This window comes from Homo sapiens, chromosome 13 (assembly GCF_000001405.40).
Source record: "Homo sapiens chromosome 13, GRCh38.p14 Primary Assembly".
NCBI classification, from domain to species: domain Eukaryota; kingdom Metazoa; phylum Chordata; class Mammalia; order Primates; family Hominidae; genus Homo; species Homo sapiens.
In genome coordinates this window covers 94,573,826-94,597,295 of record NC_000013.11, presented here as the reverse complement: position 1 = coordinate 94,597,295, position 23,470 = coordinate 94,573,826, and the positions used below count along the sequence as shown (strand labels likewise).

At 37.8% G+C, this 23,470-nt stretch overlaps 1 protein-coding gene across 6 annotated transcripts, besides 1 other annotated feature; it reads left to right on the top strand.

The window, feature by feature from the left end:
* Positions 971 to 1,280: an enhancer, noted in NCBI's record as "active region_7866". NCBI's record gives its function as "activates an Ori minimal core promoter by ATAC-STARR-seq in GM12878 lymphoblastoid cells {active_cell/tissue: GM12878}" and the evidence as "EXISTENCE:reporter gene assay evidence [ECO:0000049][PMID:35858748]".
* On the top strand, positions 1,023 to 23,242 carry TGDS (TDP-glucose 4,6-dehydratase). 6 transcript variants are annotated; one of them, XM_011521066.3, is made up of 12 exons: positions 1,023 to 1,134; positions 3,389 to 3,455; positions 4,987 to 5,055; positions 6,353 to 6,443; positions 14,060 to 14,202; positions 16,107 to 16,205; positions 17,343 to 17,402; positions 18,523 to 18,566; positions 19,126 to 19,291; positions 19,867 to 19,925; positions 20,885 to 20,982; positions 22,444 to 23,242. In XM_011521066.3, the coding sequence occupies exons 2-12, from the start codon at positions 3,399 to 3,401 to the stop codon at positions 22,512 to 22,514; spliced, it is 957 nt and encodes a 318-aa protein (XP_011519368.1). In that variant the 5' UTR covers positions 1,023 to 1,134; positions 3,389 to 3,398; the 3' UTR covers positions 22,515 to 23,242. The 6 variants fall into 6 exon arrangements, 4 of the variants coding, with proteins under 4 accessions (XP_011519368.1, NP_055120.1, XP_011519367.1 ...); NR_130731.2 differs by lacking the exon at positions 1,023 to 1,134 and adding an exon at positions 1,144 to 1,245 and having other exon boundaries at positions 6,353 to 6,439; NM_014305.4 differs by lacking the exon at positions 1,023 to 1,134 and adding an exon at positions 1,144 to 1,245.

Here is a 23,470-nt window from a genome sequence, read left to right as displayed (position 1 = left end):
GGCTGGGGCGGAGTGAGCAAAGGAGAGAATAGAATAAGACATCAGCGTAGGACCTAGGGAATATCTTTATCATGATTGCAAGCCTTCTGCGCTGTCTGTAATAATAATATTATTATTTTTTGAGACGGAGTTTTGCTGTTGTTGCCCAGGCTGGAGTGCGATGGTGCGGTCTCGGCTCACTGCAACCTCTGCCTTCCGGGTTCAAGCAATTCTCCTGCCTCGGCCTCCCAAGTAGCTGGGATTACAGGCGCCCGCCACCACGCCCGGCTAATTTTTGTATTTTTAGTAGAGACAGGGTTTCACCATGTTGGCCAAGCTGGTCTCGAATCCTGACCTCAGGTGATCCGCCCACCTCGGCCTCCCAAAGTCCTGGGATTACAGGCGTAAGCCACGGCGCCCGGCCTGAAATAATATTAACAACAGCAAAAGATCATTTTGCAGGCCAGGCACGGTGCTCACGCCTGTAATCCCAGGACCTTGGGAGGCTGAGGCGGGAGGTTGGCTAGATCCCAGGAGTTCGAGACCAGCCTGGACAACAGGGCGAAACCCATCTCTACCAAAAATTAGGCGGGCGTGGTGGCGCACGACTGTATTCCTAGCTACTCAGGAGGCTGAGGTGGGAGGATTGCTTGAGCCCCATTGGTCGACGCTGCAGTGAGCCGTGATCGCACCACTGCACTCCAGCCTGGGTAACAGAGGGAGACCCTGTCCCCGCCCCACTAAAAAAAAAAATCATTTTTAAATTGCAACCTCCCATCTCCATCTGCAACAACTCCCCGTTCTCAGCTCAACTGATAGGTAACCTCTAGAGATGGCTGTAGTACAAGAATGAAAAAAGGTACTCATTCATAAATCTGATCCATAGTGGTGGCATTTCCGGGAAAAACGTTCCATACCCCTACCATCCGGGCGACCCCAATTGCACCTGGCGGACCAGGCAAGGGCGGAAAGGAGCAGCGCCTGCGCGTGGTGAGCGCGGCCCCGCCCAGCCCGCTAGTGGGCGGGCAGAAACTGGCCACAGAGCAGTCTCCGGAAGCTGCCTCTGGCTGCTCTGTTAACGTGTCCCGCGAGCGAGGCGCGTCGCAAAAGGTCGCGGCGGAACTTCCCTGCGCTTTTCAGACCATACTCTTTACGGTACTAGGCACTGCTGAGCTGGGAGATGTCGGCGGCGTGTTGGGAGGAACCGTGGGGTCTTCCCGGCGGCTTTGCGAAGCGGGTCCTGGTGACCGGCGGTGCTGGTTTCATGTAGGTAATGGCGCCGCTAGCCAAGCAGTGGCTCCCCAGAAACCCCTACCTTTTCCCGCAGCTCTGCTTGCCCTAGGTAATTTGGGTCCAGCTTTGAGGGGTCCTTATTCTGATATGGGGAGGGTCCTAATGCACGACCTGGACCAGCTTTTCTCTCTCTGGCCTGCAAAGAAGTGGTTCCTTTGAAACTGACTTCTTTAAAACGCCTCTTCCAAAGCTGCGTTACTCTCCGCCCTTCTGTGGCCGGAGGTGCTCACCATGTCACTCCTTGAGTGCGTGCAAGTTACCCTAAGCTGCTCACCGACTGCTTCCCACCTCCAGCCTAGAGCACCCACACCCCACGATGGGCCCTGTACATATAGGCACCCCCAAAACGATTTAAGGACTATAATAGGACATCTATGTAATCAGCAAACTTTTACAAATCCACTGTTGACACCCTTTTCTTCCTCAGACCCACATTCGAGCAGCAAGTCCTCTCTACTTCCAAAGTATATCCTTACGGCGACCACTTCTCACCAGTTTCCCGTTTCCACCCTAGCCCATGTTTACTGTCATCTTTTGCCTCGACTGCTGCTGTAGCCTCTTGGTTGGCCATAACTGCGTCCACTCATGTTCCTTTAAAGCCTGTTGCTCACATACAAGTCAGTGTTTCTTAAGTCAATCAGATCATGGTAGAAGCAGGATTTTACTTCAGTGGTTCCTGCCACACTTAAGAATAAAGCCCAAACTCTACCATATCTAGAAAACTCAAGTGCCCAAGCCCTACTTTTGCAACCTGATCTGCTTTTCTGTACCTGCCATGCTTCCCCTCTTAGTTCTTGGAACACACCAAGATACACACTTCTGTCTTGAGGCCTTTGCACTTGCTTCCCCTTTCCTTAGGCTGTTTGCACCACTCAATTCTGGTTTTTATTCAGATAGCACCTCAGAGAGTTCTTACCTGACCACCATATCTAAAATAGCCCCTCTCCCAACTAGCACACTTAACCTCTACCTGAAATTATATTGCGGATTTGTGTCTGCTTGTTTATTGCTTGTATCCCCACTCTAAAATGCAAACTCGGTAAGGACAGAGACTACTGTTCATTCAGCACCTGGAAGAATGCCTGGCCCATTCTATATAAGTCTTTAGTAATTGTGGAATGGATGAATGCAAGAGTAATAAACAGGAAACTCTCCTATCCTCCCCTCAAGGAACTCAGTGGCTAGTGGAAGAAGTGGGAATGTGAGGATTCCTGTTTATGGCCATTTGCACATTAAATCACCCCTTCTAATCCGACAAGTCATTTGGGGGAGAGCATCAGGCTGGCAAGTTTCACTTAATGAGAAAGAGGACTATGGACATGAAAGGGTGATACTTGTGTGAGAGTGCGGGTCCAGGAAGGGTGCGACTTAGAAAGTGCTGTGAAAGGAATGCCGAATACAAACTTCAAGTTCATAATTTGGTCAAGGGCTCCCCTCTCCTGGGAGCCCAACATTTTAAGTATACATGGTAAATCTGGTAGATCATTTCACTGAGATATGCCTGTGATTCCCCTTTAGGGTCCTCTGAAGCCCAGGACCCACTGTGGATATCCAACTCAGAATGGTTTCAGCTGTTATTAGCCTGGGAATCCTGGGTTTAGTCTAGAAGCCTCCTGAGGATTCTGGTTTAACATTACCAAAATCTTATACCAAGAAATAGCAATTGCAGAAGTTACTATTAAATATAGACAACTGACTATACTCATAGTAATTTCATTTTTACATACTTATATCTGCAGTTCCTGAAAAGGCATGCTATAGGCATGTACAGTTGTGCTGACTAGCTCCCATTTATTGTTCCACTTTACTCGATACTTGTACCTGTATGGATGGCATCGTTTGGTTAAACTGACTTTTTTCCCTATACCCAGAACCAGTACATTCTCTCTTCTGCATAGTCTAAATGGAATGTAAAACTTTTGTTTATAGATACTGTTGAGAAGTTTGGTAAAAAGTTTGCATGTGTGTATATTTAGTGTAGTTATGTTTTCTGTTATCTTAGAAAAAATTAAAGTTATCTTTGAGTATTTTCCTAGTACTCAACACCTTAGGAAAATATTCAAGAGTTTAGGGAAGTTAAAGTTTTTCACTAACAAGATATACTTTTTTTCCATAGTGCATCACATATGATTGTCTCTTTAGTGGAAGATTATCCAAACTATATGATCATAAATCTAGACAAGGTGAGTTTTATAAAAATGAGCATCATGCACTGAAATTACATTTCAATTTATGTTTTCTAAAAGTACTAGAATCTTGTCATGCTGATATTTAAATTTTTTATTTAGTCATTTTAGCAATTCAGAGGCTCTGTATAGTAATGTGCTCATGCTGTATTTAATCTTATATAAAAGTTTTTGAAACCTGCATTTCTTATGTTGGTCCACAAAATAAAGTTTTTGTTTTATTTTGTTTTTTTCAGTTGCTACTTTGCAAATGGACTTTTTGGATTTTCATTCAAAAAAACTATAAGAAAAATTCATAAGGCAATTTGGTGATTATAAGCCTTAATTGGATTTTTTTTCTATTTTTTAATTGACATATCTTAGTTGTACTTGTTATGGGGCATATGGTGATGTTTTGATACATGTATACAATGTGTAATGATCAAATCAGGGTAATTGGGACATCCATCATAAGAAGAACCCTTAACTCTTATGAAGCTTTGCCTGACTTGCTATTATGGACAGGAATTTTTTCTGTATCACCAATATACCAACAGTTTGAGGAATAGGTATAATGAATTATAATATGTATAACACAGGTGTAATTATTTTCAATCACTAATTCCTTTTCTGTAAGAAATGGTAAACTTTTCTAGCCACCAGTGGCTACAGGCAAATTTTGGCATGAACATTTTTTTTTTTCTTTGAAATGGACTCTCACTCTGTTGCCAGGCTGGAGTGCAGTGGCACAATCTCAGCTCACTGCAACCTCCACCTCCTGGGTTCAAGCGATTCTCCTGCCCCAGCCTCCTGAGTAGCTGGGATTACAGGCACATGCCACCAAGCCCAGCTAAATTTTGTATTTTTAGTAGAGATGGGGTTTCACGATGTTGGCCAGGATGGTCTCAATCTCTTCACCTGTGGTCCGCCCTCCTCAGTCTCCCAAAGTGCTGGGATTACAGGCATGAGCCACCACCCCCAGCTAGGAACATTTTTTAAAGTAGAGATTTATGAAAAGGTTTTTGTTTTGTTTTGTTTTTTGGTACTTTGAAAAGGTAACAATTACTTGTTTTTTACTTTTAAGATGTCAGAAACTTAAAATGTGTAAAAACAGGCTGGGCTCACGCTTGTAATCCCAGCACTTTGGGAGGCTGAGGCAGGCGGATCACAAGGTCAGGAGGTCAAAACCATCCTGGCTAACATGGTGAAACCCTGCCTCTACTACAAAATACAAAAAATTAGCCGGTCCATGGTGGCGGGTGCCTGTAGTCCCAGGTACTTGGGAGGCTGAGGCAGGAGAATGGCGTGAACCTGGGAGGCGGAGCTTGTGCTGAGCAGAGATTGCGCCACTGCACTACAGCCTGGGCAACAGAGTGAGACTCCGTCTCAAAAAAAAAGTAGTGTAAAGACAGGGAGCAAACACACTTTAAGAGGACATGTTCTTGTATTGTAACCAGTAACATCTGTAGTCTTTAAAATAAATTGGTATTTGATTGGAAAAGCTAATGTCACTTTTTGTGTTGCCCCTTCTGTGCTCTCTTCTTTCAAGCTGGATTACTGTGCAAGCTTGAAGAATCTTGAAACCATTTCTAACAAACAGAACTACAAATTTATACAGGTATGAACATTTTCTTGTAACTGTACCGTGCCTCTTTAGTCATGCAGAGATTATAGTATCTTTGTACTTTACAAACTTGTGTAATGTGGGCTTGAAAAGAACACTAATTAAAGACCTTTTAAAAGATCAGGTAGTTAATTTCCAAAAGTACCATGTGCTCTAGAGGATACTACTTTTGATTGACAACACATAAAAAGCTACATGTGATTTTTGGTACCTTTGAGATCTACCAGTAGCTGACTGAATTCACATGGTTTGTATTTTAGTTCCTCCCTAGTCTTTCCCTATGAAGGTTGATTGACTCTGGAAGTCTCACTTTTAGACAAGTCCAAAGTATAAGCCACAGGACCAGTTCATTAATTTGCAAAGGGAAATGTTATTGTCAAATGAAACTATTTAACTTATGTATTTTTTAAAGTTATTCTATAAACTCTCTTTTTAACTACAAAACTTAAAGAATATACTAACAACCATTTCATAATTCTATTCTGTGTGAAAGTGTTTTCTTCAGCTACTGAAGAATTGTCGAGAATACATATTTTTAGAATAATTAAATGTACATATAAACATTAGAAGTACCATAATTTTACTTAATTGTGATAAAATGTGTTTTCAAAATATCATTCCAGTTGTTACAGTATATTTTTTCGAGACAGAGTCTGCTCTGTCACCCAGGCTGGAGTGCAGTGGCGTGATCTCAGCTCACTGCGACCCCTGCCTCCGGGGTTCAAGCAATTCTCCTGCTTCAGCCTCCCGACTAGCTGGGATTACAGGCGCCTGCTACCATGCCCAGCTAATTTTCATATTTTTAGTAGAGATGGAGTTTCACCATGTTGGCCAGGCTGGTCACAAACTCTGGAGCTCAAGTGATCTGCCCGCCTCAACTTGCACCTCACTTTGGTGCAGGGATTACAGGCGTGAGCCACCACACCCAGCCTAAGATATATTTTAATAATGGTTATCTGAAAGGTTTTTTAAAAAGTGCTAAAAAAAGTTTTGTATTAATATAGTGGCCTTGGGTTGGCAAAAATGTTGCGGACAACACTAGCATGGTACTTAGTAGTTGTTGGTGCTCATTAAAATATTATTTGGAAAAATAGTTTGAATTGAATATCTAATATCCTAAGATGCTGGAGAAATACATCATTGGTATCCTTGTTTGAGCACTTAGTTGAATTTTCAAGGCATTCTCTATTAAACAGGGAGGTGGGAGGTAGGGGGATGCTATAGTAAAAATGGTTATGAATGAGAGTGCTGTATGAAACCTAGGCCCTTTCATGTTTGCTTTTTCATATAGGGTGACATATGTGATTCTCACTTTGTGAAACTGCTTTTTGAAACAGAGAAAATAGATATAGTACTACATTTTGCCGCACAAACACATGTAGGTAAGCATTGTTTTATGTTACAGTTATGATTGGCAGTTCTCTCCCCGCCCTCGCCCCCCTAATACTTATATTTGAAAGAGGATATATCATACTGTACTAGAAAAACAAGCCCACGGTGACTGTGTTATCCATAAACTCAGCACTTTTTAGATACTTTTATTAGCATTGCAAGGCTATATTAGTGAAATACAACCTTGACTGCTGTCTGAAAACTTGAGTTTAACCAATTCAGGATAGTGAAGGGGAGCAACGGGGAGATGGGCCGTCAACTGTATTTTTTATGTTGTTTTTCTTAAATTTTGTTGTGGGTATGCAGATGGACATTATTTATATCATTTTATGAATTTTAGATATTTTCTAATAATTTGACAGTTTTATTATGAAATATAACATATTCAAAAGCATTTAGAAATAGTTAAATAATGATAATGGAGTACCCATGTATCTGTCACCTGAACAAAAGACAGAATGTTGCTGAATCCTCTTCAGTAGTAAATATTACTGCTGCCTATTACCAGATTTAAAGTTATAATTTCCTTTGCTTTTGTCTACACTTTTGTTGTCTGTATATTTATCCCTAAACAATACAGCTTAACTTAGGGTGTTTTTAAATATATGTATATTTAATATTATATATATAAATATACTTAATATATGTTAAATATATATTTTATATATATATATAATGATATGTAGAGTTTTTTTTGTTTTTTCAAAATCGATGTAGATTAATCCATGGAGTTGGATATAGATACAGTTTGTTTGTTTTCAGTGTCATAATATTCCAGTCTAAAAATACATATATACACATACACTGTAGTAGTTTACTTAATATACTTTATTCTTGATGGCCATTTGGGTTCTTTACACTTTGGAGCAATTTTGAGCACTACTACCTTGAACATGTATCATGATACATAAGTATACATTACATTTGGCTATATAACAGATCATAAGATCTGCATACTTCACGTTGAGATAATGTCAAAACATGTTCCAAAGTAATTATACCAACTTCCACTCCTCCAGAAGTGTGTGACTTCCTGTTGCTCCAGATATCACCAAATCTTAGTTTTGTCAGTCTTTCCATTTTTGCCAATTTCAGTGCTGTGTAGTGGTTTCTCATGTTTCTAATTTGTATTTTCCCTGATTACTAATAAGATTAAGTACTTTTCATATGATTTTTTGTAATTTGGATTTCTCCTTTATGAAATGCTGTTGAAATCTTTTGTCCATTTTGGCCGGGAGCGGTGGCTCACGCCTGTAATCCCAGAACTTTGGGAGGCTGAGGCGGGTGGATCACGAGGTCAGGAAATCGAGACCATCCTGGCTAACACGGTGAAACCCCTTCTCCACTAAAAGTACAAAAAATTAGCCGGGCGTGGTGACAGGCGCCTGTAGTCCCAACTACTCGGGAGGCTGAGGCAGGAGAATGGCGTGAACCCGGGAGACAGAGCTTGCAGTGAGCTGAGGTTGCACCACTGCACTCCAGCCTGGGTGACAGAGAGACTCCATCTTAAAAAAAAAAAAAAAGAAATCTTTTGTCCATTTTAAAATGGGATTGTTTACCTTTTTCTCATTGAAAGAGAAGTTTCAATGAGAAAAAATGGCAAGTAGAGTTTTTATATATTCAGGACACTAGTTCTTTATCATTACATATGTTACAGAGCCTTCTCTGTATGGCCTATCTTCTCACTTTTTTGACAGTGTGTTTTGATGAACAGATGTTTTCAATGTATGTTTTTTCCTTTATGCTTAATGCTTTTTCAGTTCTTAAATTCTCTCCTACCCCAAGGTCACGAAGATGTATTTTTGTATATTATCTTTTCAAAGCTTTATAATTTTGTCTTTTATGTTTAGATTTGTAATCCATCTGAAATTAATTCTTATATAACCCCAATTTCATGTTTTTCCATGTGAATACCAATTGTTCCTGTACCATTTATTGAAAAGTTCACCAGTTTCTGCCCTCCGTCATATCAAGTTTATTTTTGTATCTCTGTCTCTCTTCATTTATTTGTCTCTGCCTGTCTGATTACGCACTATATTGACGAATACAATGATTTCATGTCTGTTAAAGCAAGTCCTTCTACTTGGTTAATGATAAAAGCAGTTGTGCACTTCTACCAGCAATTTATGAGATGCTTGCCAACACTTGCTGTGTCAATTTTGTGGTTTTATTTTTCCCTGATGAAGTTAAAAACCTTTCCATTTGTTTATTGGACTATTCTCCCTCTCTTTGTTAGTATATCCTCTTTGGAAAATTTCCATTTAAGTTTCGTGACCATTTCCTATTAGGTTGTCAGTTTTTTCCTTATAGATTTTTATAAGTCCTTTATGTATTTTGGATCCAAGCCTTTTGCAGCTACCTTTTTTTCAGTCTGCTTTGCCTTTTTGCATTCTTTTTTTTTTTTTTTTTTTTTTTTTTTTTGAGACAGAGTCTCGCTGATTGCCCAGGCTGGAGTGCAATGGCATGATCTCAGCTCACTGCAACCTCCGCCTCCCAGATTCAAGCGATTCTCCTGCCTCAGCCTCCTGAGTAGCTAGGATTACAGGCATGCGCCACCACGCCCAGCTAATTTTGTATTTTTGATAGAGATGGGGTTTCACCATGTTGGCCAGGCTGGTCTTGAACTCCCAACCTCAGACGAGCCACCCTCCTCAGGTGATCCACCCGTCTCAGCCTCCCAAAGTGCTGGGATTACAGGCGTGAGCCACCACGCCCAGCCTTTTCCCGTTTTCAATGGTGTCTTATTATTAGTGAAAGTTCTTAATTACAATGTGGGTTAATTTATCTTTACCTTTTTCTTTAGGGGTAGTGCTCTTTCTGTCTCTTTTTTTTTTTTTTTTTTTTGAGATGGAGTGTCTTGCTCTGTCACCCAGGCTGGAGTGCAGTGGCGCAATCTCGGCTCACTGCAAGCTCTGCCTCCTGGGTTCATGCCATTCTCCTGCCTCAGCCTCCCGAGTAGCTGGGACTACAGGCGCCCGCCACCACACCCGGCTAATTTTTTGTATTTTTAATAGAGACGGGGTTTCACCGTGTTAGCCAGGACGGTCTCGATCTCCTGACCTCGTGATCCACCCGCCTCAGCCTCCCAAAGTTCTGGGATTACAGGCGTGAGCCACCGCACCCGGCTCTGTCTTGATTAAGAACTCATTTCCCACCTCCAAGGTCATGGACATGTTGTCTTATAATTCTTTTCTTAAAAGTTATTGTTTTTCCTTTTACATTTAGATTTCTTCCCCATACCCATATCAATTTGACTCAAAATCATTTATTGAAAAGACTTGACTTTTCCTCATTGTCAGTTTTGTCATGGGTCAAATGTTTATATACGTATGCTTTTGTTTCTCGGCTCTATTCAATTCTGTTGGTCTTTGTCTGTGCTTATACTATTATCACACTGTCTTAATTACTGTAGCTTTATAATAATTCTTTATACCAGCAAAGCAAACCTCCCACCCTGTTGTTCCAAAAAACAACATTTGACATTTGACATTGTTGTTCCAAAAAAACAATCTTTGACATTGTTGATCTTTTCTTATGCGTGTTTGTTTTCTATATAATGAATTTCTGGTCTTACCTTTATTATTTCATTATTTCTACTTTGTTTAGGCTTACTTTCTATTCTTTTTTCTAATCTTTGTGATATATTTAGCTTATTAATTTTCACGTTTTCTCTAATGTATGCATTTTAGACTATAAATTTACTTCTAAATACTGGTTTATCTGAATCCTACAGGTTTTCATATGTATTTTTTCATTATCTTTTAAGAGTTTGATTTCTTGCTGGGTGCAGTGGCTAACACCTGTAATCCTAGCACTTTGAGAGGCCAAGGCAGGCGAATCACTTGAGCCCAGGAGTTCCAGACCAGCCTGGGCAACATGGTGAGACCCTGTCTGTACAAAAAATAATAATAAAAAATAAAGCCAGGCATGATGGCATGTGCCTGTAGTCCCAGCTACTTGGGAGGCTGAGGTGAGAGGATCACTTGAGCCCAAGAGGTGGCGGTTGCAGTGAGCTGAGATCGCACCCCTGCACTCCAGCCCGGGCAATAGAATGAGACCTTGTCTCAAAAAAAAAAAAAAAAAAAAAAAAATAATTTGATTTCTTCTCTCATCCGTGGGTTACTTAGACACGTATGTCTTAATTTCCAAACATGTATGGGTTTTCTTGTTCTTATGGAATTCTAGCTTAATTGTATGTGATTAGATAACGTACTCTATGATTGTAGTCCTTTATGCTACGACTTGCTTTTTGGTTCAGTATATGGTCACTTTCCGTAAATCGTGTGTGTATTGAAAAGAATGTTAACTTGCAAACATTGGGTCCATTGTTCTTTACACATCCATTAGGTTAAGTTGGTTAATGATGTTCTTTAAATCTCTTGTATATTTCTGGTGAATTGAACCTTTTATACTTATGAAGTGATCTTTTTTCCCCGGTGATGTGTACTGCTTTAAAATCTATTTTGTTTGACATTAATATAGCTGTGTTACTTCCTTTTTGGTTAGTATTTTCATGATACTTTTTCCATCTTTTTATTTCCAAACTTTCTCTAGTTTTATGGGTTAGCTGCATGTCTTGTAAACAACATGTATTTGGATTTTGATTTTTTTAAACCCATTCTGACCCTCCTCGGCATTTGCCCTCAGTGTTTAGTTTGTTGCTGTATTTGGATTTATTTCTACCATCTTACTGTACGCTTTCTTTTCCCACCTGTTCTGTTTCCTTGGTTGCTGCTTACTTTTTTTAAAAAAAAGAATTATTCCTTTGTAAAAAATTGTTTATTTTAAAAAACTGCTTGCTTGCTTTTTTTAAGGATTTGACTGAGGAATTTTTCTTATTCTCTTTTTCTCCCTCTACTAGTTTGGAAATTATATGTTCTGTTTGTACTCTTGGAGTGGTTACTCTACAAATTACAGATGTGTAATTAGCTTATCAAAGTGTAAAGTTCATCAAAACCTTTGCCCTCTTCCTATTTAATTTCCAACTCCATTTTTAGCTATTTTTAACTCAGTTTTTATCTGGATTTTTTTTTTTTTTTTTTTGAGACAGAGTCTTGTTCTGTCACCTAGGCCAGAGTGCAGTGTTGTGATCTCGGCTTACTGCAACCTCTGCCTCCCAGGTTCAAGCAGTTCTCGTGCTTCAGCCTACCAAGTAGCTGGGATTACAGGCGTGTGCCACCACGCCCGGTTTATTTTTTTGTATTTTGAGTAGAGACGGGGTTTTGCCATGTTGGCCATACTAGTCTCAAACTCCTGACCTCAGGTGATCCACCCACCTGGGCCTCCCAAAGTGCTGGGATTACGGGCATTAGCCACCATGTCCTGCCTGGAATTTTAAATTGATCTTATTTTATTTTGTTTTTTTATTTCCACTAGATGACATTATTACTATTTTATATAGTCAGTAGTCATTATATTAGGGGTTTACAAAATGATATCCTAATTATGTCATTCTTCATTTATACCTGGAATATCTACATAAAAAGAAGTTTTCCAGCCAGGCGCAGTGGCTCACGCCTGTAATCCCAACACTTTGGGAGGCTGAGGTAGGTGGATCACCTGAGGTCAGGCGTTCAAGACCAGCCTCGCCAACATGGTGAAACCCCATCTCTAAAATACAAAAAAGTTAGCTGGGCGTGGTAGTGGGCACCTGTAACCCCAGCTACTCGGGAGGCTGAGACACAAGAATGGCTTGAATCTGGGAGGCAGAGGTGGCAGTGAACTGAGATTGCGCCACTACACTCCAGCCTGGGCAACAGAGAGAGAGAGAAAAAAAAAAAGTTTTCCTTATACATTATTTGGTTACCTTGAGATTTAATTGTTATGGAAAAGCCAGGTTAAGTGCCTGATTATTTTTATTTATTTAGTAGATTTTACTATAATGAGTTGGTTTCCAAGCATCCTCATTTTTCTTTTTTCTTAATATTGCTATGAATTTGTAGATTTTAACACATTTGATTTTGTTTGTTTTAATCATTTGCAGTTATTTTTCTTATTTATGTTCAAAATGACTCACCATTAGCCATTGAGAGGCTCTTCTAGTTGCTTCCTGAGTCCTTTTTGACATGACCTTAGCAGTCTTTGACAACCATCTAACTTTCTGGTTTGATAGGATGTTTCAGTTTTATCTTCAATGTTTTTCCCCCTAGATCTGGAATCAGCCCTTTCTGTCAGGAGCCATTGTTCCTTTTGGTGGGAAATGGTGTTTAGAGGCCACAGTCTGGGCACTGGGAGTGCTTATTAACTGATTGGACATTGTGTCAAGGCTTTTTCAGTTAACAAAACTAGGGAATATTATTTGCCTATTTACTTAAGATTAAATATGACATGGGTTTATACTGAAATGTCCAATCCGCATTGAGATTTTTTGTTTAAGTTCTTCAGTCTTTCATTTATATCATCTTTTCCATACCCTGAACACCTTGGTTCTCAACAGCACCATCCTAATTACTCATTTACTTTATTCCAAAACACACAGTGAGTCCACATTTCTTCTTTTAAGGACACCAGGTAGATCGGATTAGGACCCATCCTAAAGACCTGATTTTCACTTAATCACCTCCTTAAGAGCCCTATCTCCAAATATAGTCACATTCTGAGGTTCTGGGGGAAGGGGTTAGGCCTTAAGATGAATTATGGGGAGAACACAGTTTAGCCCATAACTCTGGGTTAGAGGGAAATGCCTATGTAATTTGACTAGATATTTCCAAGTTTCCTTCCTTAGGGAATTGTAAACATTTTACATCATCATTGTCAGTGTACAAAGTGTCTTTTGCCTAACAGCCTCAACAACTAAGTGATTTGTCAACTTTTTGAATTTTTGCCAGTCTGGTAAGTAAGAAGTGGTATCTCTGAGTTTTTAATTTGGGTTTTTCTTACTGTAAGTGACATTGATCATCGTAATCTTAAGGACCCATTTATATTTCTTCATCTAAACTGTTTATGTCTCCTACCTGTTTTACTATAGGATTGTTCTTAATTTATTTAAAGTTCTTTATAAATTGACGATACTAACCCTTTATCTCTGTAATTTCACATGGTTTTTCCCAGTTTGTCATTTTTGTCTTTTTAATTTGTTTTTAGTTTTTTAACCATGCAAAATTTTTATATGGTCAAATTTATCATCCTCTTCCATTATTGCTTCTGGATTGTGATTCATCATTAAGGAAGTTCCTTCCGTTTCCTGGTTATAGAGGTTCAATTCTTGTAAGGTGAATTTATGTTTAAATAACTCATTCAGCATTTATTGCTTTCAGCAGTAACAGATTGATCTTAAAAAGCCTATCCCTGTAATTCATAATTTTTTTTAATTTAAAAACATTTTAAATTTTCATGTATTATTTTTAAATTTTCTTCCTTATAGAATAAAAAACTTTCCTGCAAATTTAACATTAGTTTTCTGGGTTCTGAGAATTTACATGTACTATGTAATTTAGGTTTAAAGAAATCATAAATATGACTGCCTGTGTATGTTATTATTATAACTCTTGCAGCTGTGGTAAATGAAGAACAGTGACTAGTACTCTCCTTAAACCTGAGTCCATCATTTGGCATTTGTTTTATCCGTTGGGTAGACTTGTTTTAGCTTTTCACTCTTTTCTTTTAGATCTTTCATTCGTACGTGCCTTTGAGTTTACCTATGTTAATGTTTATGGCACTCACGTTTTGGTAAGTGCTGCTCATGAAGCCAGAGTGGAGAAGTTTATTTATGTCAGCACAGATGAAGTATATGGTGGCAGTCTTGATAAGGTGAGCTTAGAAAATGTATATTTTACCTACTTAACCATGTACCATGATACAGTTTTATTAAACCTACACTGGGCTTTTTTCATCCTCAAATTATATACACTTGTGGCACTCTTCAGAGTGTATTAGGGTTCTCTAGAGGGACACAACTAATAGAATAGATATATAAAGGGGAATTTATTAAGTATTAACTCACACGATCACAAGGTCTCACAATAGGCCATCTGCCAGCTGAGGAGCAAGGAGAGCCAGTCTGAGTCCCAGAATTGAAGAATTTGGAGTCAGATGTTCGAGGGCAGGAAGCATCCAGCATGGGAGAAAGATGTAGGCTGGGAGGCTAGGCCAGTCTAGTCTATTCATGTTTTTCTGCCTGCTTTATATTCTAGCCACTCTGGCAGCTGATTAGATGGTGCATACTCAGATTGAGGGTGGCTCTGCCTTTCCCAGCCCACTAACTCAAATGTTAATCTCCCTTGACAACACCCTCACAGACACACCTAGGATCAATACTTTGTATCCTTCAATCCCGTCAAGTTGACACTTAGTGTTAACCGTCATAGAATATTATTCTATTGTCTCCTCTGTTCAGATCAAGTGATACCTCCCCAAATGGGGAACAACAGCCTAGTCTTGGTAGAGACTTATTCATTTATTTTTTCATGCCCCAGAATTCTCTTTAGGTACAGATTTATTTGTAATTTTGCAAGAGAATTGCAAATCTCACCTTTTTGTCCCACTCTTACAAATATGGTGAATGTCATTCCATGGACCAAAGCATAAGTTAGGCTGCAGCATACTACCTGTTCATCTTTCCCTTTCAGTCAGGAAAACATATTGGAATTTCAAGGAGACAGTGTAAAATTCTTGTAAAAACCAAAATCTATTTTTTTTTTTTTTGAGATGGGAGTTTCGCTCTTATTGCCCAGCCTGGAGTGCAATGGTTCAATCTTGACTAGCCACAACCTCCGCCTCCCAGGTTCAAGCAATTCTCCTGCCTCAGCCTCCCGAGTAGCTGGGATTGCAGGCATGCACCACCATGCCCAGCTAATTTTGTAGTTTAGTAGAGATGGGGTTTCTCCATGTTGGTCAGGCTGGTCTCGAACTCCTGACCTCAGGTGATCCGCCTGCCTCGGCCTCCCAAAGTGCTGGGATTATAGGTATGAGCCACTGTGTCCAGCCTTAGAATCTATTTTTTAAAATAAATCATGCATAAATATTACACTTTTTAGGCAAAGAAGACTCCATTGTCTAATCTATAATTTTTATAATTGGTGTCTGCAGTGATCTCATTCTGTTTATTTTATTATTTATGAATTTACTTATTTTACCAAGACACATACATAGTGAAAATCAAATAGTCTGAAAAGACTTACAGTGAGAAAAAGTAAACCTTGACCACTTCTCAATTTTCAATTCTGCTTCCAAGAAGTAACCATTTTTCAATTCTCTGCAATTTTTATCAGGTAAACTTCTTTCTTCATGCACCCTGCCACCCTACATCAGATCCAACACAGTAGCCAGAGTGATTTTTAAAATGTAAGTCAGACCTGGCATTACTCTGCTCAAAATCAGTCATTGTTTTACGGTGGCCTTCAAGGGTATGGCCTTCCTCTAGCTTTCTGACCTCCTCTCCCACTGTCTCTCGCCTCACATCAGCCTTCCTGCAATTCCTTTGGACATGCTTCTGTCTCAGGGCCCTTACACTTGCTGTTCTCTCTCTCTGCTATATAGGATTGTTGTGCACGTTAAAGAAGTTACCACATGTCCTTGGGAAAACACCAGGCACATAGGATTTAAGAAGTGGCTTTTAAAATTTGGTGATTGACATTTGAAGTGTTAACATATGCTCTGATTTCTATACTTAAAATATGCATAACACTTTTTTAAATATATATTTTTAAAAATAGGAATTTGATGAATCTTCACCCAAACAACCTACAAATCCTTATGCATCATCTAAAGCAGCTGCTGAATGTTTTGTACAGTCTTACTGGGAACAATATAAGGTAAGAACTGATTGCAGAAACTCTTGAAACATTTTCCTTTGGACTTAAGTGTTAAAACTCCAAGTCAGCTTTTTTTTTTCTTTTTTTCAAAATATTTTTAAGTTTTCTATTTATTGTTCGGAGACAGTCGCAATCTGACACTCAGGCTGGTCTCGAACTCCTGACCTCAAGTGATCTGCCCACCTCGGCCTCCCAGAGTGCTAGGATTACAGGCGTGAGCCACGCCCAGCCCAAGTCAGCTTTTAGCAGCATGCTTAGAGTAGAAGGCATAGATTGAGAAAATTTACATATTATGGAATTTTAAAAACTAATTTCCTCTATTGTGTGGACAAATTAGGGCCGACCTCTTCGTATTCAGTTCATCATTAAAGGAATAACTTGAATCTTGAATATACATTTTTTTTTCTATTTCAGTAGTAGGTAGAGTGTTACAGCTATAGTCAGAGTGAGGTTGGAGTCCTATGAGTGGAGGAAGACAGAGGGAAGACAGATCCCCTTTCTGCCATGTGCTTCTGTCTGCATGATTTGGCTTTTGTGGCTCCTCATGAGTGGGAAGTAGACTTGCCCCTGGTGGCTCTGACAGTGTCAGTATGGGAGCCTTACCCCATATGAATCCTCACCTTGAATCTCCTACATTTGGCTTCCCACTGCTCTTTGTGAGTTTTTAGGGACTGGGTCAGAGAGGCAAGCCTTGGAATTCCTAAAGATTCCCTCACCATTTGAGTTCTGGTGGCATCAGTCCTTTTCACTTTCATAGTAGCTCTTTTTATTTGTAGGGATTGGTACAATGAAGAGAGCCAACTTAAGAGTCCTTGAGGTGGTCTTTAAAATAATCCGCTGGAAAGTTCTTCCGTGTTTTGCTATCAGTCAGACTTATAAACCTGTGCCATCTGTGTTTATCTTCTTGTACTAATAAAAGAATATTCCTCTTCTTTCTTTTGGAACCTCTGCCTTTATCTGAATCCTATTCTCTCCTTTTTAGAAACCTTACGTTAGAAAAAAATCTCTTCCCTTTGACCTTAAGGTGTGTGGAATTATTTAGGCAAAGGTGCCCATATTTTGAAATTCTGCTTATCTTTAAAATAATCATTATTATTAGACCTTTTTAAAAGCCTTAATGTTGGATATTCTTTTAAGTTTCCAGTTGTCATCACAAGAAGCAGTAATGTTTATGGACCACATCAATATCCAGAAAAGGTAAATTTTACTTCTTAATTCATGGTGTTTTTCAGTGATTGTAACTTCTCATTGTTTGAAATAACCTCTTTTCAGTTATTTGTCTAAAATAATATGTTGTAAATTATACATAATTTTATATGCTGTATAACACCACTTGCAGATTCCTTCAGACTTAGAGTTTGAAAACTTGAGTTTTAAGTCTCAAGCTGGCTGACACTCACCAGCTGGCTTCACCACTTAGCAGGGATTTTGAAAGATCCAATGAGAATGATATATGTGAAAATACCTTGTACTTCTAAAGACTCTAAAGCACTATAGAATACTTCTACCTCTACTGTCACGCTGCAGTTGACTCCCTGTTTGCAGTCAGACCAGTATGTCAGCGTATACAGAAAGTCAAAAGCTAGCTAGATAGTGATGCAAGAAGCTTGTATACATTAACTGTCTTAGTGTCAGCTGGCTAACTGTGCCTCAACTCATCTTTATTGTGTAGGCACGAATATCTTCCAGAAAGTACTACAAGTAATGAATAAAAAATGTAGTTTAGAGGCTGAAAATGCCTGTGCAATTGGCTCTATATCATCAAGCCTGATTTTATATAACTTTGGCTACTCTGCCTAAATTTGGAGACTGGGTTTTCTTGCTTCCCAGCTGGTTGCATTGATCTGTTTGCCCAAAGGAAAGGGCCATGTCATGACCTGCAGGTATTAATATTTACTTTGCTTAATTTAAGTTTTCTTTGAATCCAAGAGCACTGGAATTTACTTTCTATAAATTCCTGAAGCACTTAATGCATAGGTGCTATATGTAAAGCAATAAGTAAGATACAAATATCTGCCCTTATGAAGTCAGCACACAGGTGAGCTTTATGATGAGACCAACTGTCTGATGAAGACTTTTTCTGCATTTTTCCCCTATTTAGATCATTTTATCTTCAAGTAACCTGTCTTTATGAAATAGCAAACTAGGAGTTCTTTTACATATCAAATACTATAGTAGGTTTTTTAATAAACTGATAAAAATAATTAGAAGCAATCCATATGCATATTTCTTAATAATCTTTTAATTTTGGTATGAGTTCAGATTCATACTAATGAGTAAATATCCAGTCTGAAATGATATTTAAATATTCTTTTAGGTTATTCCAAAATTTATATCTTTGCTACAGCACAACAGGAAATGGTATGTTATTATTACCTTTTTACCCATATGCTTTTCTGGTATGTTAGAGTATTTGGTGACACTTTCTTAAATATCATAAAGTCTTAAAGGCCATAGAATTGAATGCCCCACTAAATTTAAGAATCATTTCTCCAGTGTAATAGTTTTTAAAATAATCTGTATCTTATTTTTATAATTGTTGAGATAATTTCAGATCTTAATGACCTATCATAGAACTTTGAATTATAGCATTAAAATTTGAAATCTATTTTTATATAATTTTACTTTCTCAAAGGACTTATTTAATTCATAGAACTGTAGATATTTCTTTAAAATGAACTTATGACATAAAATTGAATACACATTTCACAGGGGTCACTTTCCTACTGAGTCCCCTCAGAAGGTTTGGAGATTAAGAAATATGAACAAAATTTAGAAAAGCTACGAGAATTTGTATTTTCAGTAAAGATTCTGGGATCCCCATGGGAATTAGCTTCTCTGGAGTTGTAGTACCCAGTCAATGCTTTAGGAGAGTTTACCTTTTTACACTTTATGATTTCACTTCGTTTAATCTCTTTAGTTGCATTCATGGGTCAGGGCTTCAAACAAGAAACTTCCTTTATGCTACTGATGTTGTAGAAGCATTTCTCACTGTCCTCAAAAAAGGGAAACCAGGTGAAATTTATAACATCGGAACCAATTTTGAAATGTCAGTTGTCCAGCTTGCCAAAGAACTAATACAACTGGTATGTATCTGTTTTAAAAGGTTGGTATTTTCAAAATTGTTAGTGGCAGTGACCATTAGTCAAAATCAGAAGCATACAGCTTACTTAATTTAAAAGTAAGCAAGTAGAAAATGAAATTAATGATTTTGTGTACCATATGTGTCTTAAATTAAGTTGGATCACCTATTTAGTAACAGCTTTTCAGGAAAAAATAATTCACTAAATGTGCATTCCCTAATTATATTTCTGCATAAGTCATTTGCAGAAATATAAAATTGTCTTAAAACAAGTAACAGTGATATATAAAATAATTACATTAGTAGTTATGAATGTCCATGTATATTAGGGGACATCAATTTTAAATCTTAGTTTAATAGAAAGAGGAACTGAATAATAACCAAAATCCAATGTGTATATCTGAGCTTCAGATGGAATTTAGGTTATAAAGTATAGAAAGTGTTACTAAAATGATGTTCATTTTAGCTGTCTTCCCTGCTATGAGGCAGTTGTTTTCTTTTTAATCAGCCATTAAATACTATTGTTATTCTCTGATCTCATTTTATAATTTGACTCAAAAGCTTTTTCCATTTTGACAGATCAAAGAGACCAATTCAGAGTCTGAAATGGAAAATTGGGTTGATTATGTTAATGATAGGTGAGTAACAAGTTAAAACCTTGGGGAAAGGTTGTGAAATCTTAGGTACTTATAAAATTATAAAATATGTGGACTTGACCAATAACTAGTTTATCTGTTTTGAATTTTCTGGTAAAACATTTTTTTCATAATCGTAAGTACCATACAAATTAAGTATAGCATTATTACTTACTAGCTATGTGACTTAAAAAACTATTGACCCTTTCTAAGTCTGAAGTTTCAAACCTCCAGTGTGAAATAGGGATAATAACATCTTTTTTTTTTTTTTTGGAGACAGAATCTCGCTCTGTTGCCAGGCTGGAGTGCAGTGGCGCAATCTCGGCTCACTGCAATCTCTGCCTTCCCAGGTTCAAGCAGTTCTCCTGCCTCAGCCTCCCGAGTAGCTGGGACTACAGGCACACGCCACTACACCCAGCTAATTTTCGTATTTTTAGTAGAGACGGGTTTGCACCATGTTGGCCAGGATTGTCTCGATCTCTTAACCTCGTGATCCGCCCTCCTTGGCCTCTGAAAGTGCTGGGATTACAGGCATGAGCCACCTTGCCTGGCCAATAATAACATCTTTCTTATAAAAGTATTCTAACACTTATTTATAATGTGTATGAAATACCTGACCCACAGCCTGGCATATGAGTTCTAATAAGTTTTTGTGTATTTGTTTATTTAGTCATTGAACATTTGTTGAGTTTTTTGGATGTGTCAGGTACTTCACTTATATCTAGATCGTGGCTGAAACAAGAAGACAAGACACAGAGAGGGTTAGGCACCTGGCATTATGGGTGACTTTTTTTTTTTAAATATATACTTGATTTTACAGACTTTCTGCAGAAAACCTATTGGGAATTTTTGTAAAGAGAAAAGTTGGGTTGTGGTAAAAATGCATAAACACATATCTCCTAATATCTAAATTTGTAAATATATATCTACAATATTATTTTAAATCTGTTTTGTTTTCCAAGACCCACCAATGACATGAGATACCCAATGAAGTCAGAAAAAATACATGGCTTAGGATGGAGACCTAAAGTGCCTTGGAAAGAAGGAATAAAGAAAACAAGTATGTTTTGAATTAATCATTTTGGGGGCAAGTCAGAAAAATTTAAAGGAAAAATAACTTATTTCCAGAACATTATACAAACCAGTGGAATATTGTGTTGAATCATTCGTACTTTTCAAATTGCCACATTTCATATATTTCTAGTAGCAGTCCTGTGTTTCCTAAGCATCTTGAATTTTATAAACCAACCTCTGATCAATCTTCCCATATCTTGTTAGCATTAATCAAATACCTGTATTATTTATTCTGAGGTACATATTTTTTCACTTTCTTCACACTCCTAAAAGGTATGTATTTTTATAATCACTGGTGTCTTATAATTATTATTGTAGCTTTTTTCTTTTTTACATGTATGTAAAATAATGATCCATCAGTGGCATCTTAGAGTTGGTGAAATATAGATGCAGTCTTTTTTGTGTCTTGAGGCTTTTTATATTGAAACCAACAGAGGAAATAAATTTAGTATGTGCAGAAAAATCTATTAAAATAAGTGCATATAAAGTCTGTGTATACATGTTAAAGCTGTATTTAGAAATGTATTCATGAGAAAAGCTCTACCCAGATGTAGAAAAAAAAGTTTTGATTCAGAGCTTGAAATACAAATACTTAAGTCAAATATTAAGAAACAAAAAATAATTTAAAACTATCAGATTTCTTTAAACTAAAAAAGCTTTTACTGATAGTATAGCAATATAAAATAATTTCACATATTAATAGAAGGAAGGTGCTGGGCATAGTGGCTCACATCTGTAATCCCAGCACTTTGGAGACCAAAGTGGGAGGATCACTTGAGGTCAGGAGTTCAGGACCAGCCTGGGAAATATAGCGAGACCCTGTCTCTACAAAAAGTAAAAAAATCAGCGGGGCATGGTGGCACATGCCTGTAGTCCTAGCTATTTAGGAGGGTGAGGTAGGAGGATCTCTTGAGCCCAGGAGTTTGGGCCTATAGTGAACTACGATTGCACCACTACACTCTAGTCTGGGTGACAGCGAGACCCCATCTCTTTAAAAAAAAAAAAAAAAAAAAAGCAAGGAAGTTCACATCAACTCATTGTGCCTCTCATGCAGTGTTACCATATTTATACGACTAAACACTGTATTATACTTTTTTATATAAAATAACCTTAAAACCAGGGCAGATGACTTATTTCCCACACCCCAAATTCCTTAAAATCAGAATCTTAAATATTTATACCAAGTTCAGTATTGAATGACTTTAGAAGTTAAGAAGAAAAAAATAGTTGATTTTTAATCATAAATTTTTTAGGTGATTTAAATGTCTTCTGATTGACTTCATTGTTAAGTTCAAAATCAAATTGTTTACATCATTAGTCAGCCCTTGTCTGCTGCTTAGCTGATGGGCAAGACTTAGCTAGCAGGAACTCAGTAAAGGTTGGTTAACTGATGTTTAGTTTTTCTTTCTTTTCTTTTTTTTTTTTGTCTTTTGTTTTTTCCTATTAGTTGAATGGTACAGAGAGAATTTTCACAACTGGAAGAATGTGGAAAAGGCATTAGAACCCTTTCCGGTATAATCACCATTTATATAGTCGAGACAGTTGTCAAAGAAGAAAGTTATCCTACCTCGCCAAGTGGTATGAAATTAAGTGACCAAATGAAGTGCACTCTTTTCTTTTGGAATTAGATTCATGACTTTCTGTATAAAATTCAAATGCAGAATGCCTCAATCTTTGGGAGAGTTTCAGTACTGGCATAGAATTTAAATGTCAAAATTCTTTCTGAAACCCTTTCTCCTAGAAACTAGGAAATAATAGGTGTAGAAGACTCTCCCTAAGGGTAGCCAGGAAGAAGTCTCCTGATTCGGACAACCATGAGGGGTAGTGGTGCTAGGGAGAAGGCAACCTTCACTGGTTTTGAACTCAGTGCCTAAGAAAGTCTCTGAAATGTTCGTTTTTAGGCAATATAGGATGTCTTAGGCCCTAATTCACCATTTCTTTTTTAAGATCTGATATGCTATCATTGCCTTAATAATGGAACAAAATAGAAGCATATCTAACACTTTTTAAATTGATAATTTTGTAAAATTGATTACGTTGAATGCTTTTTAAGAGAAGTGTGTAAAGTTTTTATATTTTCACAATTAACGTATGTAAAACCTTGTATCAGAAATTTATCATGTTTACTGTTTAAAATGATTGTATTTATAAAATTGTCAATATCTTAATGTATTTAATGTAGAATATTGCTTTTTAAAATAATGTTTTTATTTTGCTGTAGAAAAATAAAAAAAAATTTGATTATATATTTTTAATCCTTCTTTGCCCTAAAGACTTTAAGAAGACTTGAAAAAGTAACTGATTGGCTATTGGGTTGAGAAAGGGAAAAGAAACTGGGTGGCCCTCTATTAAGAATGCAGATTTTGGTATGGAGGCATCATAATTCCTCATTAGAAAGTCTTATACTTTAAAAATACCCTTAAATACCAGCCTCCCACTGTGCTTAGGGATCCCTGAGTCCATACCTCTTCTAT